Source organism: Homo sapiens, chromosome 14 (assembly GCF_000001405.40).
Source record: "Homo sapiens chromosome 14, GRCh38.p14 Primary Assembly".
Taxonomy (NCBI): Eukaryota; Metazoa; Chordata; class Mammalia; order Primates; family Hominidae; genus Homo; species Homo sapiens.
The window spans coordinates 75145531-75161752 of NC_000014.9; the positions used below are offsets into that span (position 1 = coordinate 75145531).

Genomic DNA, 16222 nt, shown 5'->3' on the forward strand with positions numbered 1-16222 from the left:
ATCCGCCAGCACTTTGGGAGGCCAAGACAGGCAGATCACGAGGTCAGGAGATCGAGACCATCCTGGCTAACATGGTGAAACCCCGTCTCTACTAAAAATACAAAAAATTAGCTGGGCGTGGTGATGGGTGCCTGTAGTCCCAGCTACTCGGGAGGCTGAGGCAGGAGAATGGCGTGAACCCGGGAGGCGGAGCTTGCAGTGAGCAGAGATCCCGCCACTGCACTCCAGCCTGGGCAACCAAGCGAGACTCCATCTCAATAAATAAATAAATAAATACCCTTAATGACAGGCATCATGTTGGAGAAAAAGATTACAATAGGTAAAATTCCACAGAGTACAAATTCAACTGAGAATGGTCCACAGTTCGGGAACAGAAGCAGTAACCACAAACTGGAAATCATTTTACCTATTCTTCTACCTTATAATAATGAGAACATTCTCCCTAGTGTTTTATATCTTATAAAAGCACTTTAACATAATCTTATTTAAATATAATTAAGATTCTTCTGAATCATGAAGGTTTAAAAAAATTTTTCAATTTACTCAAGTTCATCAAATAAAGAGGTCTTCTTGTTTTATTTATTTAAATTAAACTAGCCTGGAAACAGAAACAAACAATTGAAAATTCTCTACCGGAAACTGTCTCCCATTCACAACTGTATCACTTGCTCCTATTTACTGCCTCTAAATAACGCTACCTAGTTTCATTCAATTGAGGATTTGAACAAGGAAAGAGCTGCAACTGTTGTACTACTTCCTGTTGCAGAATTAACCAGTCATTTCCAATCTTCTTCCATTTTAGGATATTTCCCTTCCAAAGTGCTGTCCAAAGAGAGAGCAACTTCTGTTCCACTATTCCTAGACAATTTTCCTAAATCACTTAAACCAATTTTCCTTCATTTACTTAGTTTGCATTCTTCAAAAGCCCATTCTATTTCCTGTACCCCACTCCTCCTTCATGCCCTTACGTACTGTTTTGTTGGGTAAAAATACTCTTATCTTTCTGTAAAGATCAATTATCTAGTCTTAAATAGTTCTTGTGGTTTTTCAAAGGTGCCCTTCATTTGAAGAACCCTTTTGTGCTGCCCCCAAGTCTCGCAGAGATGAAAAAGGCTGTTGTCCTTCTCCTCATTCTGTGTACACCTCCATCTCCCTGTCACCCAAATAAGTGTCAGTTTTTATTAGTCTATAATAAATAACTTCTTATCAGCATCAAATTTCTATTATCACCATTCCTAGTCTCTTGCAGCTTTTTCCTCCATCCTGCCCTCTTCCTTGAAAGTTTGAAATTATTTTAACTAAAAACTATCTTTGACTATTGTTATTTCCCAAACACAAAACAGTTGTTCAAGACTAAACAGCACTGAATCCATGCCCCAGATAGATAGATAGATAGATAGATAGATAGATAGATATACAACTGTTGGTCTTGGGGAAAAAGTCTTAGGAATTAAAAACAAATCACTTTTCTTAACCTTGGGCATTAACAAATAACTGAATTCCAGCTTTAAAAAATTTAAAATATCTCTCTCTACACACACACAGTTCAAGAGAACTAATGCCATATGCTTCAGTGTTTTATCAAACCAACATTCTGTGGGACAGTTTGTTCAGTCTTTGGCTGACAGCACAGCCAGAATTATTCTTCAAGGCTGTTTTTTTTTTTTTTTTTTTTTGAGATGGAGCCTTGCCCTGTCGCCCAGGCTGGAGTGCAGTGGCACGATCTCGGCTCACTGCAGCCTCTGCCCCCCAGGTTCCAGCAATTCTCCTGCCTCAGCCTCCCGAGTAGACTAGCTGGGATTACAGGCGCACGCCACCACTCCTGGCTAATTTTTGTATTTTTAGTAGAAACTTGGTGTCACCATGTTGACCAGGCTGGTATCGAACTCCTGACCTCAGGCGATCCACCCGCCTTGGCCTCCCAAAGTGCTGGGATTACAGGAGTGAGCCACCGCGCCCGGCTAAGGCTGTTAATACCACTTTTTGTATCAGTAAGATCATGGCTGGCTGTCACAAGACTGCTAAGAAACCACAGCCCTTTGGGCAAAGCACAGCCTGTTGGCCTGCCGAGGTCACAGAAACCTCACAGCATAGCACACTGCTGCCTCCTCTGGCTGTTAGAGCAGGACATACCTCTTCGTAATTTTTCGCCTCCACTCCATGCTTCATGTCTAGGATCACGAGTTGGTCAGGTATCCGCCCTGTTCCTGAGAAAGAAATCAAAGGAATCATTGTGTGAAATACTTAAAATTCTGGGAAATTACCCACCCACCCGCCCGCCCTCCCTCTACAGAACCCCTACCCTCTCAATAGAGGGAAACAGCCACAACTCCTCCCCCTGCTCAGTTGCAGAAAATTCCTGGCTCTGGCTAAAATCACAAACATTCCAGACAAAGCCTCTATCTGTGTGGGGTGCCGGAAAGCAACAAGAACATGCTGCTGGCAAACATCTCTGAGCAGGCAAGGACACAAGATACTGCAACTGGTACTACAGAGGAACAGAACAGAAGGGAAACCACACAGGCTTATTGAATTGGGAAATAAAACTCAAAAATCAAAACAGTGTGAAATTGAGTGGCATATAAATCAAGAGATAGTAGGCAACAACTTCGGCTGAAAATGTGTATTTCCACATCTGAAAAGGTTGCCCTGTCAAATTTTGAGGGAAGGCCATGATGAATTAGGATTATTGGATATGTGCTAAGCTTGGATTTACTTAATATAAATCTGAGTACTGAAAAGAACATAAGTTTTATCTAATATTCCACTTTAATTCAAACATTTTGATCAATGTATGGCCTAGTTCAGTAGGAGTACAATGTCATAGAGCTATTCCCACTAAGCCCTTAAAAGAGTTACAACAGCTCAAGGAAAAAAAAAAAACAACTTTAAGTGTTCAAATCTCAGGGATGCTTCTTATAATAGAGTTCATGTTAGAAGAGTCAATCTGATTCAGCTGGATCAAAGAAGCATTCTAATCTTAAATCATCAAGTAGGAGAAAGGAAAAGACCCAAGGAGCCCCAGAAAACTGTTCAGCCCCAATCCCCTGGAATTCACCTAGTTATAAAATTTACAACTGCCTGCATGAAATTAGAAGTTGTGGGAAACAGTGCCACTGAAGCACTGGGGTTCCTGAAACCATAAGCCACACTGAATGGTACTGTACCCTCTGATGCCTGAGAGACACTGGAAGTTTTCTGAAATGAACTGAAGTCAATTCAATAACTACTCATTGAAAACTCACTAAGTACTAAAACTGTGCTGGAGATTTTAAAGAGATATGCTACGGCTTCGATGTGCCCCTCTCAAAGTTCATGTGTTGGAAACTTAATCCCCAATGCAACAGTGTTGAGAGGTAAAACCTTTAATTTTATTTATTTAATTAAAAAAAATTTTTTGAGACAGGTTCTTACTCTTGTCTTCCAAGCTGGAGTGCAGTGGCACGCACCATCATGGCTCACTGTAGCCTCGAACTCCTGGGCTCAAGCAATCCTCCCACTTCAGTCTTTCAAGTAGCTGGGACTACAGGCGTGAGCCACCACACCCAGGTAATTTTTGTATTTTTTGTAGAGACAGGGTCTCGCTATACTGTCCAGGCTGATCTGGAACTCCTGGGCTCAAGCGATCCTCCTGCCTCAGCCTCCCAAAGTGCTGGGATTATAGGCATGAGCCACTGTGCCTGGCGGAGAAGTAGGACCTTTAAGAATTGACTAGGTCATGGGGCTCTGCCCTCATCAATAGATTTAATGTCATTATCATAGAAGTAGGTTTGTTATAAAAGTGAGTTCAGCCCCTTCTTGCTCTCCTGTGCATTCTCTTGCCATGTGATACCTTCTGCCATGTTATTGTGACACAGCAAAAAGGCCCTCACCAGATGTGGCCCCTTGATCTTGGACTTTCCAGACTCCAGAACCATGAACCAAACAAATTTCTACTGTTTATACCCACTCTGCGATGTTCTGTTATAGCAGCACAAAATGGACTAAGCCAGGATACAATCCCTGCCTTCAAATAATTCAATTGGGATCTAAGACATATACACAAAACAACTATGGTGAAAATGCAAAGCACTGTAAAAGTTTAAGCCAAAGGAACTGGTTCAGACAATTCCAATATGGAGCAAAGGGAAGAGGAGAGAAGATTGTAGTTGTGGACAGACTTCACTAAAAAGGGAACACCTAAAGGCAGGACTTAGGCAAAGTACTCTAGGCAGACGGCAAAGCATGAGCAAAGGCTCAGATATTAAAATCGGAGTATGGCATGCTTGAAAGACAGTAAAGAACTTCTTTTGGGATGGGCACGGTGGCTCATGCCTGTAATCCCAGCACTTTGGGAGGCCAAGGCAGGTGGATCTCTTGAGGTTCGAGTTCGAGACCAGCTTGGCCAACATGATGAAACCCGTCTCTACTAAAAATACACAAATTAGCCAGGCGCAGTGGTGCGTGCCTGTAGTTCCAGCTACTCCGGAGGCTGAGGCATGAGAATCACTTGAACCCGGTAAAGTTGCAGTGAGCCAAGATCGCACCACTGCACTCCAGCCTGGGTGACAGAGCAAGACTCTTGTTTCACACACACACAAAAAAAGGACTTCTTTTGGATAGACTGGAAAGATTAACTCGAAAGCAAGAGAAATATAAATAAGACTGCACAGGGTAAGACTGAGAACAAAGTAAGACAAGTCACATGTGTCTTCTGAGCATGAAAACAACAAGTCTTCAAACAAAACAAAACAAAATGTGGCACCCAGAGTGTTCTGTTCTCCCAAATCCAATGTGTAATCCTGATTACGACATTGTCCATGGAAGATGTACTTCCTCATTGAAAAAGTTGTGAAACTTAAGCAGTTCACAGCCCCACCTGGTCCAAATGATCAGGATATCTTCTTTCTTACAAGGTCTTCCAACTACCTCCCTGATTGTCACAGCACAGTACAGTCATGCACTACATGAAGACAGTTCAGTCGAGGACAGACTGCATATATGAAGGTGGTCCCATAAGATTATTATAATACTGTATTTTTACTATATCTTTTCTATGTTTAGATACACAAATAGCATTGTGTTCTAACTGCCTACAGTATTCAGTACAGTCACATGCTTTACAGCTTTGTAGCCTAGGAGCAGTAGTAGGCTATACCATATAGCCGAGGTGGGTAGTAGGCTATAACATCTAGGTTTGTGTAAGTACACTTAATATTTGCACAACGAAATCACCTAACCACCATTTCTCAGAATGGTCGAGTCCAGACTATACAGTCTCTTGCATAGAACTGTCAGCCTATCCTCTTAGCTGACATCATAGCCCTAAAGAGTCTCCTTTGTAAAAGGACCCTTCATAATTTTTCTCTCTGCATTTGCCTGGCAAACAGACAATCCTTTTTGTTTGTTTTGAGACAGAGTCTCGCTCTGTCACCCAGGCTGCAGTGCAGTGGTACGATCTTGGCTCACTGCAATCTCTGCCTCCTGGGTTCAAACAATTCTCCTGCCTCAGCCTCCCGAGTAGCTGGGATTACAGGCATGTGCCACCACCACATCTGGCTAATTTTTGTATTTTTAGTAGAGATGGGGTTTCGCCATGTTGGCCAGGCTGGTCTCAAACTCCTGGCCTCAGGTGATCCGCCCGCCTCGGCCTCCCAACTGCTGGGATTACAAGCGTGAGTCACTGCGCCCGGCCAGTTTTTTTTGTTGTTGTTGTTGTTTATTTTTTTGAGATGGAGTCTCACTCTGTCACCCAGGCTGGAGTGCAGTGACACAATCTTGCTCACTGCAACCTCCACCTCCTGGGTTTAAGTGATTCTCCTGCCTCAGCCTCCTGAGCAGCTAGGGTTACAGGCACGAGCCACCATGCCCAGCTAATTTTGTATTTTTAGTAGAGACAGGGTTTCACCATGTTGGCCAGGCTGGTCTCAAACTCCTAACCTTCAGTGATCTGCCTGCCTTGGCCTCCCAAAGTGCTGGGATTACAGGCATGAGCCACCATGCCCAGCCTTTTTTTTAAGACTTCACTTTGTTAGAGCAGTTTTAGGTTCACAACAAAACTGAGAGGAAGGCACAAAGATTTCCCATATCCCCCTTCCTCTTACATATGCATAGCCTCCCCCATTATCACCATTTCCCACCAGAGTGGTACATTCATTACAAATGATGAACCTACATGGACACATCACTATCTACCAAAGTCCACAGTTTACATTAGGATTCACTCTTGGTGTACATTCCAAATGTAATGTTCGGACAACCATATAATGACATGTATCCACTATTACAGTATCATACAGAATATTTTTACTGCCCTAAAAATTCTCTCTGTTCCACCTATTCAATCTTTTATTCCATGTAGTCGACCTTTTAAAAGGTGCTCCAAAGACTACAAGGTAACAGGTCTCCAAATCAGAATAAATAAAGAATACAAATGAAACTAGATATTAAGTGCTGACTGTATTAAGGAGCATTAGAGTTGGAGAAGATTCTTAATCCAGAGAAACACTCTTGATTACTCACCCTTGCTCTCAAAACACACTTCAAACATGTCATAATCTTCAGTGGTAAAGGCAAATTTCCCCTTGGTTGCATCCTCTTTGGAGTAGAGAATATGGCCAGCAGAATCTGTGATCTAAAATAAGAAAAGTAGTAAGAATAGGCAGCAAATAACACTCAGGAAGAGAACTTACAGAAACTGGGAAGATAGAGACACTATCTATGAAAGACAATTGATAGTTCTCATTATGATGACTATGTTCCAACCATCCCCAAAGACAAAAACTGGATTAGAAGATTAAATCCAAATACAGCAAATTTCATCCATTCAAATAGCCTAATCACACTGTGGGCTAAAATCTGTTGCTGCTATAGGATGTCTTACCATACCAAAAAGTTAATCTAGCTAATGCTCCAAGTTACATACATTGGATTTATTGGCAAAAACTCACTAGTATCATTCCGCATAGAGGAACATGTCACAAAAATGAAAGTAGACAATTATCAAAAGATTATACAAGAGGGACAAAGATATATAAAAACACATTTATTCTATAAAACAAATTTGATGGGGAAGGGGTGTGGGTGGAGAATAAAATTAGGACACACAATACAAGGACAGCAGGAAGAAAAGCATACATAGAGAAGACAATCCAGGAGATCTATTCCTGCAAATTTCATGTTAATTATGTCAACGGCCAGGTAGAGTGGGAACAAAACACAGGAAACAAAAAAGAAGTTTCTGGCCAGGCATGGTGGCTCACGCCTGTAATCCCAAACTTTGGAACGCCAAGGCAGGAGGATCACTTGAGCTCAAGAGTTCAAGACCTGGCTGGGCGCGGTGGCTCACGCCTGTAATCCCAGCACTTTGGGAGGCCGAGGCGGATGGATCACGAGGTCAAGAGATCAAGACCATCCTGGCCAACCAACATGGAGAAACCTCGTCTCTACTAAAAATACCAAAATCAGCTGGGCGCAGTGGCATATGCCTGTAGTCCCAGCTACTCAGGAGGCTGAGGCAGGAGAATCGCTTGAACCTGGGAGGCGGAGGTTGCAGTGAGCCAAGATTGCGCCACTGCACTCCAGCCCAGATGACAGAGTGAGATTCTGTCTCAAAAAAAAAGTGTTCAAGACCAACATGGCGAAACCTCATCTCTACAAAAAATACAAAAATTAGCCAGGCATGGTGGTGCGCACCTATAGTCCCAGGTACTGGGAAGCTTGCCGTGTCACTGCAGCCTGGGTGACAGAGCAAGACTCTGTCTCAAAAAAACAAAAACAAAAACAAAAAGGAGAGAAATTTATCCTAAAAAAAAAAAGGTATCTTTGGCTTCCATAAATGATTATTCCTTTCTTCTAGATCCTTAGCTTTAGCTCTTCAGACTTAAGCTGCTCTATTACCAAAGAATGGCCTATCAGCACAGAATAAAGGGCATATACTGCTAAGTAAACAGCCACATACAAAGCAAGGGAATTCCATGGTAATTTAACAGACTGGATCTTAGCCTTCATTTCTAGAGCACGTGGCTGTCTTAGTAGAAAGCATATTTCATCACTTAAGACTGGAAGCTACTTTGCAATGTGGAACACAAAAGTAGTGGCTTAATTACATTAAACTGGATGTTCTAATGCTATTTGTTAAAACATAATTCTTTTAAGGGGAAATTTTAAGCAGGAAAATTAAGTAGCACACATTTAAGCTTATATATTTAAAAGTACTTTATAACAGTAGTTATTTCTGAGGGGTGAGACTTTCTATTTTTTTTTCCCTTTTTTTTTTTGAAATGGAGTCTCACTCTGTCCCCAGGCTGGAGTGCAGTGGCGTGATCTCGGCTCTCTGCAACCTCCGCCTCCCGGGTTCAGGTGATTCTCCTGCCTCAGCCTCCCGAGTAGCTGGAACTACAGGCACCCACGACCATGCCCAGCTAATTTTTTTGTATTTTTAGTAAAGACAGGGTTTCCCTGTGTTGGCCAGGATGGTCTCGATCTCCTGACCTCATAATCCAACCCGCCTCGGCTTCCCAAAGTGCTGGGGTTACAGGCGTGAGCCACCACACCCGGCCTTTTTTGAAAATGACATGTAGCCGGGCGTGGTAGCTCTGCCAGGTGCAGTGGCTCACGCACCTGTAATCCCAGCACTTTGGGAGGCCGAGGCAGGTGGATCACCTGAGGTCAGGAGTTTGAGACCAGCCTGGCCAACATGGTGAAACCCCGTCTTTACTAAAAATACAAAAAAAAAAAAAAATTAGCCAGGAGTGGTATTGGGCGCCTGTAATCCCAGCTACTTTGGAGGCTGAGGCAGGATAATCGCTTGAACCCGGGAGGCAGAAGTTGCGGTGAGCCGAGACTGTGCCACTGCACTCCAGCCTGGGCAACACAGCGAGACTCTGTCTCAAAAAAAAAAAAAAAAAAAAAAAAAAAAAGGCATGTATCACTGGATCACTTATATTCAAAAATAATAATAAAGTTATTTTATTTTGGAAAAAATTGATAATAACTAAAGAAAAGTTATCACTACTAGATAAATTTGAAATGACAGATTAACTAAAAAAAGTTTTATGGCACATCTTCTAAATTCCCTAATAAACAGTAGTATTAGTCAACTGTCTTCTGCCATCCAGCACCATTTGCTAATTTGTCAAACTTTTAAATTTATTTTTATTTATTTATTTTTGAGACAGAGTCTCGCTCTGTCACCCAGGCTGGAGTGCAGTGATGCGATCTCGGCTTACTGCAACCTCTGCCTCCCGGGTTCAAGCGATTCTCCTGCCCCAGCCTCCCAAGTGGCTGGGATTACAGGCACATGCCACCACACCCGGCTAATTTTTTGTATTTTTGGTAGAGACGGGGTTTCACCGTGTTAGCCAGGATGGTCTTGATCTCCTGACCTCGTGATCCACCTGCCTTGGCCTCTGAAAGTGCTGGGATTACAAGTGTAAGCCATCTCACCTGGCCCTTTTTTTTTTTTTGAGACAGAGTCTCGCTGTGTCACTCAGGTTGTAGGGCAGTGGCGCAATCCCGGCTCACTGCAACCTCCGCCTTCCGGATTCAAGTGATTCTCCTGCCTCAGCCTCCCAAGTAGCTGGGACTACAGGCATGCACCCCCAAGCCCGGCTAATTTTTATGTTTTTAGTAGAGATGGGGTTTCACCATGTTGGCCAGGCTGGTCTCCAACTCCTGACCTCAAGTGATCCGCCTGCCTTGGCTTTTCCAAACTGCTGGGATTACAGGTGTGAGCCACCACGCCCGGCCTAATTTATCAAACATTTAAGATACCTAGACCTGTGCTGGTCACTGGGATACAAGTATGAGTAAGATAGTTCCTGTCTTCAAAGGGCTTATGAGTCTAAATGAGGAGAGGAGAGTGATAAGAAATGATATGCCTTCATAGTGGTTTTGGTTTGCATTTCCCTGATGGTTAGTGATACTGGGGAACTTTTAATGTATTTGTTAGACATTTGTATGGGGTGATGAAATATGTTAATTAGCTTGATTGTGGTATTCACTTCACAATGTGTATGTATAACAAAACATCACATTATATATCTTGAATATAAACAATTTTTATTTGCCAATTATACCTCAATAAAGCTAACAGAGAGAGAGCGCTTCACTGCAATGTGCAAGGCATGCTACCAGAGGTATGCACAAGTGCCATGGGATTATGGAGGGTCAGGGAGTGTATCTAGGAGGGGGTAGCACATGAGCTGAGTCCTAAAGGATGAATTTCAATCAAGGGAAAGAGGGGTAAAGAAGTTCAGGGTAGAAGAGACAGCAAATATGAAGGCCTGGGTCCAGAAAAACATAAAACAAAAATATGGCATTATCATATTACTAATAGCTAGTATTTACTGAATACTTACTAAGTGTCAAATAATGTGTTGCTGCTTTATAAGCATTTTAAATTTAATCCTCACTATAACCCTACTGGCAAGAATTATTTCCCCCGTGTTCCATGGGAGGAAACTGAGGCCCAGAGAGGTTAAGTGCCTGGAGAGGTACTGGCCCAATCATGTAGAACTAGAATAGCATGCTAAGGAGTTTAAGCTTCATTTAGTACAAAGTGGAAGGGCAATAAGGAATTTGAAACAGAATGATGTGAGTCAATGACAATTCAGAAAGATGACGCTACCAGTACTATGAAGACAGACTATAGAGAGAGAACCCTAGAGATAAGGAGGTGGGTTGGGACACTATTCCAGTACTCCAGGTAAGAAAGGAGAAGGGCCTTCAGTATAGAGAGAAGGTGACAGATTTTATTTAATTAAAATAATTTTAAATTTTATTTAATTTTATTAAGGTTTATTAAATTGTATTTAATTAAATAATTTTATGTAATTACAAAAAAGTTTAGTAACCCATGAACTGAAGAGTTTGAGGGATTTTAAGGAGGTAGAGTCTACAGGACAAAACCAAAAAGTAAATGCCCACAGAGATCAAGTGAGAAACATACTGAGTCTACTGGACCAGCACAAGCCATACACAGCAAACTAGAAAAGATGGCCTGTGTTATAGGAAAAGCCAATGACTGCCATGGCACTCCAGGTTTTCAGATCATCCAGTTTTTCAAGAGAAGGTAGACATTTTAACTTTCATTTGAAATCTCTTAATTTTTAAATCTTTACAACCAATCCCAACATTTGAAAAACTATCTCAGGCCGGGCACGGTGGCTCACACCTGTAATCCCAGCACTTTGGGAGGCCGAGGTGGGTGGATCATGAGGTCAAGAGATCGAGACCATCCTACCCCGTCTCTACTAAAAATACAAAAATTAGTTGGGCATGGTGATGCGTGCCTGTAGTCCCAGCTACTTGGGAGGCTGAGGCAGGAGAATCGTTTGAAACCAGGGTGAGAGAGATCACGCCACTGCATTCCAGCCTGGTGACAGAGCAAGACTCCGTCTCAAAAAAAAGAAAAGAAAAGAAAAGAAAAGAAAAGAAAAGAAAAGAAAAACTATCTCAAGGAAAAACAAAACACACCTATAGAACCAAGTTCTTCTGGGCCAACAATTTTGCCCTCTCCACAGGACAGAAAGAAAGCTGACTAACATCACATAGAATGACTGCTGGGTAGCACTGAGATCTCAGCTAAGATAATGAACCACACATTTCTAGCGGTACAACCTAGCAGCCAGGATGCAGAAGAAAAGAAAAGGCACATGCATGAACTGATCGGAGCTTGGGGTTCTGCAACTGAGTGGTTTGGAAAGATAAAAGGGTTAAAGAATCATGCTATATACTTTACAAACATAATCTTTAATCTTCTCAGCAACTCCATGGAAACTGGTCTTGTTATTCCTGTTTTACTGATGAGGAAACTTAGTAACTTGTCCATTATAGCAGTTAATAAATAAATCGTGTTGGTCAGGTGCAGTGGCTCACACTTGTAATACCAGCACTCTGGGAATTCAAGGTGGGAGGATCACTTGAGCCCAGGAGTTTGAGACCAGCCTGGGCAATATAGTGGGATGCCGTCTCTACAAAAAATAAAATTAGCTGGGTGTGGTTGACATGCGCCTGTGGTCCCAGCTACTCAGGAGGCTGAGATGGGAGGACTGCTTGATCCCATGAGGTCGAGGCTGCAGTGAGCTGTGATTGTGCCACTGCACTCCAGCCTGGGCAACAGAGTGAGAACATGTCTCAATAAATAGCCAGGTGCAGTGGCCCACACCTGTAATCCCAGCACTTTTGGGAGGCCGAGGCGGGTGGATCACCTGAGGTCAGGTGTTTCAGACCAGCCTGGCCAACGTGGCGAAACCCCGTCTCTACTAAAAATACAAAAATTAGTTGGGCGTAGTGGCAGGTGCCTGTAATCCCAGCTACTCAGGAGGCCGAGGCAGGAGAATTGCTTGAACCTGGGAGGCGGAGGCTGCAGTGAGCTGAGATCGCACCACTGCACTCCACCCTGAGTGACAAGAGCAAAACTCCATCTCAAAAAAAAAAAGAAGTAAAAATAAATAAATAGTGTTACGTGGATTTGAGAAATGTCCAAAACCCACTCTCTTTCTGCATCCCATGCTGCCTTCCCCCAAAAGGAATGTCTGAAAAAAGAGGAATGTACAGTGGCCAAGAAAGACTAATAGAATCTTTGCATCAGTGCAAATCAGAGTTGAGAGTCCTCTCAAGTGTTAACACAGCACTGATCAGTCTGCATTCTCCACCTTAGAGAGATCAGCAGGCAGCCACAAGGTAAAGACCTTGAAGTTAGCATCAGCTAAACAATCAAGGGAAATTTAGCCTTGAAGATTCTTAAAGGCCTCTTGTTTGTGTGATAATTTTTCTGAATCATAAACTGAAAGAAGCAGCATAAAAAAGGACTACTTTATTTTTATTTATTTTTGAGAGGGGGCCTCACTGTTGCCCAGGCTGGAGTGCAGCTGCACAATCACAGCTTACTGCAGCCTCAACCTCGTAGGCTCAAGCCATCCTTCTGCCTCAGTCTTCCGCGTAGCTGGGACTACAGGTGTGCACCACTACACCCGACTAATTGTCTTATTTTTTGTAGAGACAGGGTCTCCCTATGTTGCCCAGGCTGGTCTCGAACTCTTGAGCTCAAGTGATCCTCCCACCTTGGCCTCCCAAATGCTGAAATTACAGGCATGAGCCACCGTGCCCAGCCAAAAAGTACTTCAGAGGGCCGGGTGTGGTGGCTCATGCCTGTAATCCCAGCACTTTGGGAGGCCGAGGCGGGCAGATCACCTGAGGTCGGGAGTTCGAGACCAGCCTGACTAACATGGAGAAACCCCATCTCTACTAAAAATACAAAATTAGCCAGGCATGGTGGCGCATGCCTGTAATCCCAGCTACTGAGGAGGCTGAGGCAGGAGAATCACTTGAACCCGGGAGATGGAGGTTGTGGTGAGTCGCGATCGCACCATTGCGCTCTAGCCTGGGCAACAAGAGTGAAATTCCGTTTCAAAATAAATAAATAAATAAATAAATACCTTAGAACCCTGGATACACACATATCAGTCAAAAAGGTCTGAGAACTAACCAAATCACAAAGTAATGTGTAGTCATCAGTGTGATGCCTCTCTTCCTTTCTTCAGAATCAGTTGACCCACAAAGATACTCACTTCCCCAAGATTCTCACTTTATAAAGCATAAAGACAAAATTTAAGAGCAAAGAAGAAGTTCAAAAAGGTAGACAGCAGGAATAACAGATTTTTCACATTCCAAGCCAATCTAGAGACCCTAATTTGGATTTGGACTTTCCTCCTAAGAATAAAGTTGCAGACAACATTGAACTTGGGTAACATAACTTTCCAGATTTGCTCATTGCATTGGCTTAATTCTGAAGGAAGAAGGCTAATAATTACAGGTTGCTGAAAATGTCTAAATGTAAGTGAAACTGGTAGAGGACAGCCTGGAATAAGCATCAAGGTGAAAGTACTGAAAAGAGTCATCACAGATTTCATCATCTCCATGCTAAGGCAAGGAAAGAGACTAAGTCATTGGCCTAGGACAAACAACTGAATTTAACAGTGTTTGCAGGATTTGCACACATTTGCCCAACCACCTTATTTCCTGGAAGAAGAGATTATAATCTCTTAATTTTCCTCCAAGATATGAACAGTGTCCTTCAAAAACTTTTTTTTATTTTAACTTAAGGAGAGGAGTCTCTCTACATCATAAAGGAGCTTAAATGCACGTCATAAAATTCTTAAGTCATTGCTAAAAGTACCTTACAAAATGAATTAAGAAATCTGCTATGTTTTTCTGAAAGACTTCAGGAAAATCACATCTCCAGCTGGTACTCCAAAGGGGTAAATACTATTTAAATTGTCCTCTACCACATTGTACTGAGGAACTGCAATCACAGAAGAACCATTTGCATTGTCTCTTCTCTCTATGACATCCGAAGATTATTAAAGACTCATTTTAAGGCAAAAACTGAAATTCATTTCAAGAGGCTGAAGGCAAAGGGCCCGCCACTGCAGCCTGCACCTTTTATCAACATGAAATTTACCTCCCAGAAATAGTGTGTGATGATGCTGGAAGTTCGCCCAAGGCCTCCACATGTCTACACTCCCTATAACCTTCAGATGACACAACTACATGAGGGAATTTATCTGGATATTTGGAAATCCAGGCAGGCAACCTGACAACTGAACTTTCAGGTGGGGCTCACTCATATGGCCTGTTTGGGCATTCTAAAACATCTCACGATTTTTCTGAAAATCAGTAGGTTTCCTATCTAGTTCATATAACTTTGTAGTTATTTAGGAGCCAAGTCATTAGTCTTAAAGAAAAACAAAACAAAACAAAAATCACATCTCCCAACCCCAATATCATTACATAAACCAGGTAGCTAAAATTAGGGAATAGGAAACTGGGCCAAACTCAATGACTAACCAGAGCCAGCAAAGTCTAATAGGCTAAAAAAATAAAATGATAGCTTAATTTCCTTTCATTAAAATGTTCTAATTACAGATCACCTTAAAAGGTCATCTGGTTTCTCAAGAAGTGAGAGGTTTTTTTTTTCTTCTTAAATTGTCCTAGAGAACCACCTTGGTGAATCAATAACTGCTACTTTTACCTACTATAATAGCAAGACCTTAAAAGGATTCTTTTCTTTCCTTTTAACAATAAATACTTATAATAGTGATAATAAAGTTCTTTAATTAAACAAAGGTAATACCAAGCTATAAAATTTGCCCATATGACATCAAGGAATAGGAAGTAATAAAGATTTGTTTCTAGATATCACCTTCTGAAGAAAAGCAAAACAAAGTTCACAACTTAAAAAGTAGGGGGGATGGGCACGGTGGCTCATGCCTGTAATCCCAGCACTTTGGGAGGCTAAGGTGGCACGTCATTTGAGGTCAGGAGTTTGAGACCAGCCTGACCAACATGGCAAAACCCTGTCTCTGCTAAAAATAAAAAATTAGCCGGGCATGGTGGCAGGCGCGTGTAATCCCAGCTGCTCAGGAGGCTGAGGCAGGAGAATCACTTGAACCTGGGAGGCAGAGGTTGCAGTGACCCGAGATTGTGCCACTGCACTCCAGCCTAGGCGACAAAGCTAGACTCCATCTCAAGAAAAAAAGAGAAGGAAAAAAAAGTGTTAATTTTATATGCAGAGTAGGTGATGTCAAGAATATGTGAATACTCACACTGAGCCTGTGAGAAGTGCGAAAACAGGTAACTGGGAAGATAAACTCATTTAAAATTGGATTTTCTTGGACCGTGCTAGGCAGTGGCTGGAAACAGATTTTTGAGCAGGTCCTGCCACTGAAGCCTGCTCTCATTCCTTTACCAAACATTCAAAATAAAACTTCAAAAGGATCTATAAGTAGCTTAGGTCAATAAGGCAATTAGGAATAAAATGGAATAGAGTTCACCTGAGGGAAGAAAAAAGTCTTATCAAGAACCTAAATTGAGCAAATGATATCTGTAAAATAAATTTGGTTCTAAGTTTTCTGGAAGCCAAAATTAAAAGACTAAAGAGACATCATTTGTTTTCTGATGAAAGCTCACAAATTTATCTAAGGGACAATTTTCCTGGAAGTAACCACGAACAACAATTTATCAGGAAGATCCTCGTAAAAGGACTGTAACTAACAGACTCTTCATTTTCAACCATCATCTTGCTAAAGATACAAGTACAGTTCAAATGAGTTCTTTTAGTGACCCTCCCTAACAATGAATGACCTGATCTAATGCAGAGGTGAGACCTGGTTCTCTGCCCTGCCCCTAAGCACTACATTTCTCCCCATCCTAGCCCACTCCTGCTGCTCACAGAATT

General features: G+C 42.2%; 1 protein-coding gene across 1 annotated transcript in view, besides 4 other annotated features; it reads right to left on the reverse strand.

Moving 5' to 3' along the window:
• Positions 1-16222, reverse strand: part of TMED10 (transmembrane p24 trafficking protein 10) — a 45144-nt gene that overhangs the window by 14062 nt on the left and 14860 nt on the right. The window contains exons 2-3 of the mRNA NM_006827.6: positions 6502-6613; positions 2134-2207 (exon numbers count right to left, since the gene is read on the reverse strand). Coding sequence (NP_006818.3) covers positions 2134-2207; positions 6502-6613 — 186 coding nt within the window. The remainder of the gene's footprint in view (positions 1-2133; positions 2208-6501; positions 6614-16222) is intronic.
• Positions 1936-2230: a silencer, noted in NCBI's record as "tiled region #714; K562 Repressive non-DNase unmatched - State 12:CtcfO". NCBI's record gives its function as "represses a minimal TATA promoter and a strong SV40 promoter by Sharpr-MPRA in K562 cells {active_cell/tissue: K562}" and the evidence as "EXISTENCE:reporter gene assay evidence [ECO:0000049][PMID:27701403]".
• Positions 1936-2470: a biological region, named in NCBI's record as "Sharpr-MPRA regulatory regions 714 and 744".
• Positions 2176-2470: a silencer, noted in NCBI's record as "tiled region #744; K562 Repressive non-DNase unmatched - State 13:Ctcf". NCBI's record gives its function as "represses a minimal TATA promoter and a strong SV40 promoter by Sharpr-MPRA in K562 cells {active_cell/tissue: K562}" and the evidence as "EXISTENCE:reporter gene assay evidence [ECO:0000049][PMID:27701403]".
• Positions 6834-7498: an enhancer, noted in NCBI's record as "H3K27ac-H3K4me1 hESC enhancer chr14:75619067-75619731 (GRCh37/hg19 assembly coordinates)". NCBI's record gives its function as "activates a minimal SCP1, AML or CMV promoter by ChIP-STARR-seq in naive H9 embryonic stem cells {active_cell/tissue: H9 hESC(naive)}" and the evidence as "EXISTENCE:reporter gene assay evidence [ECO:0000049][PMID:30033119]".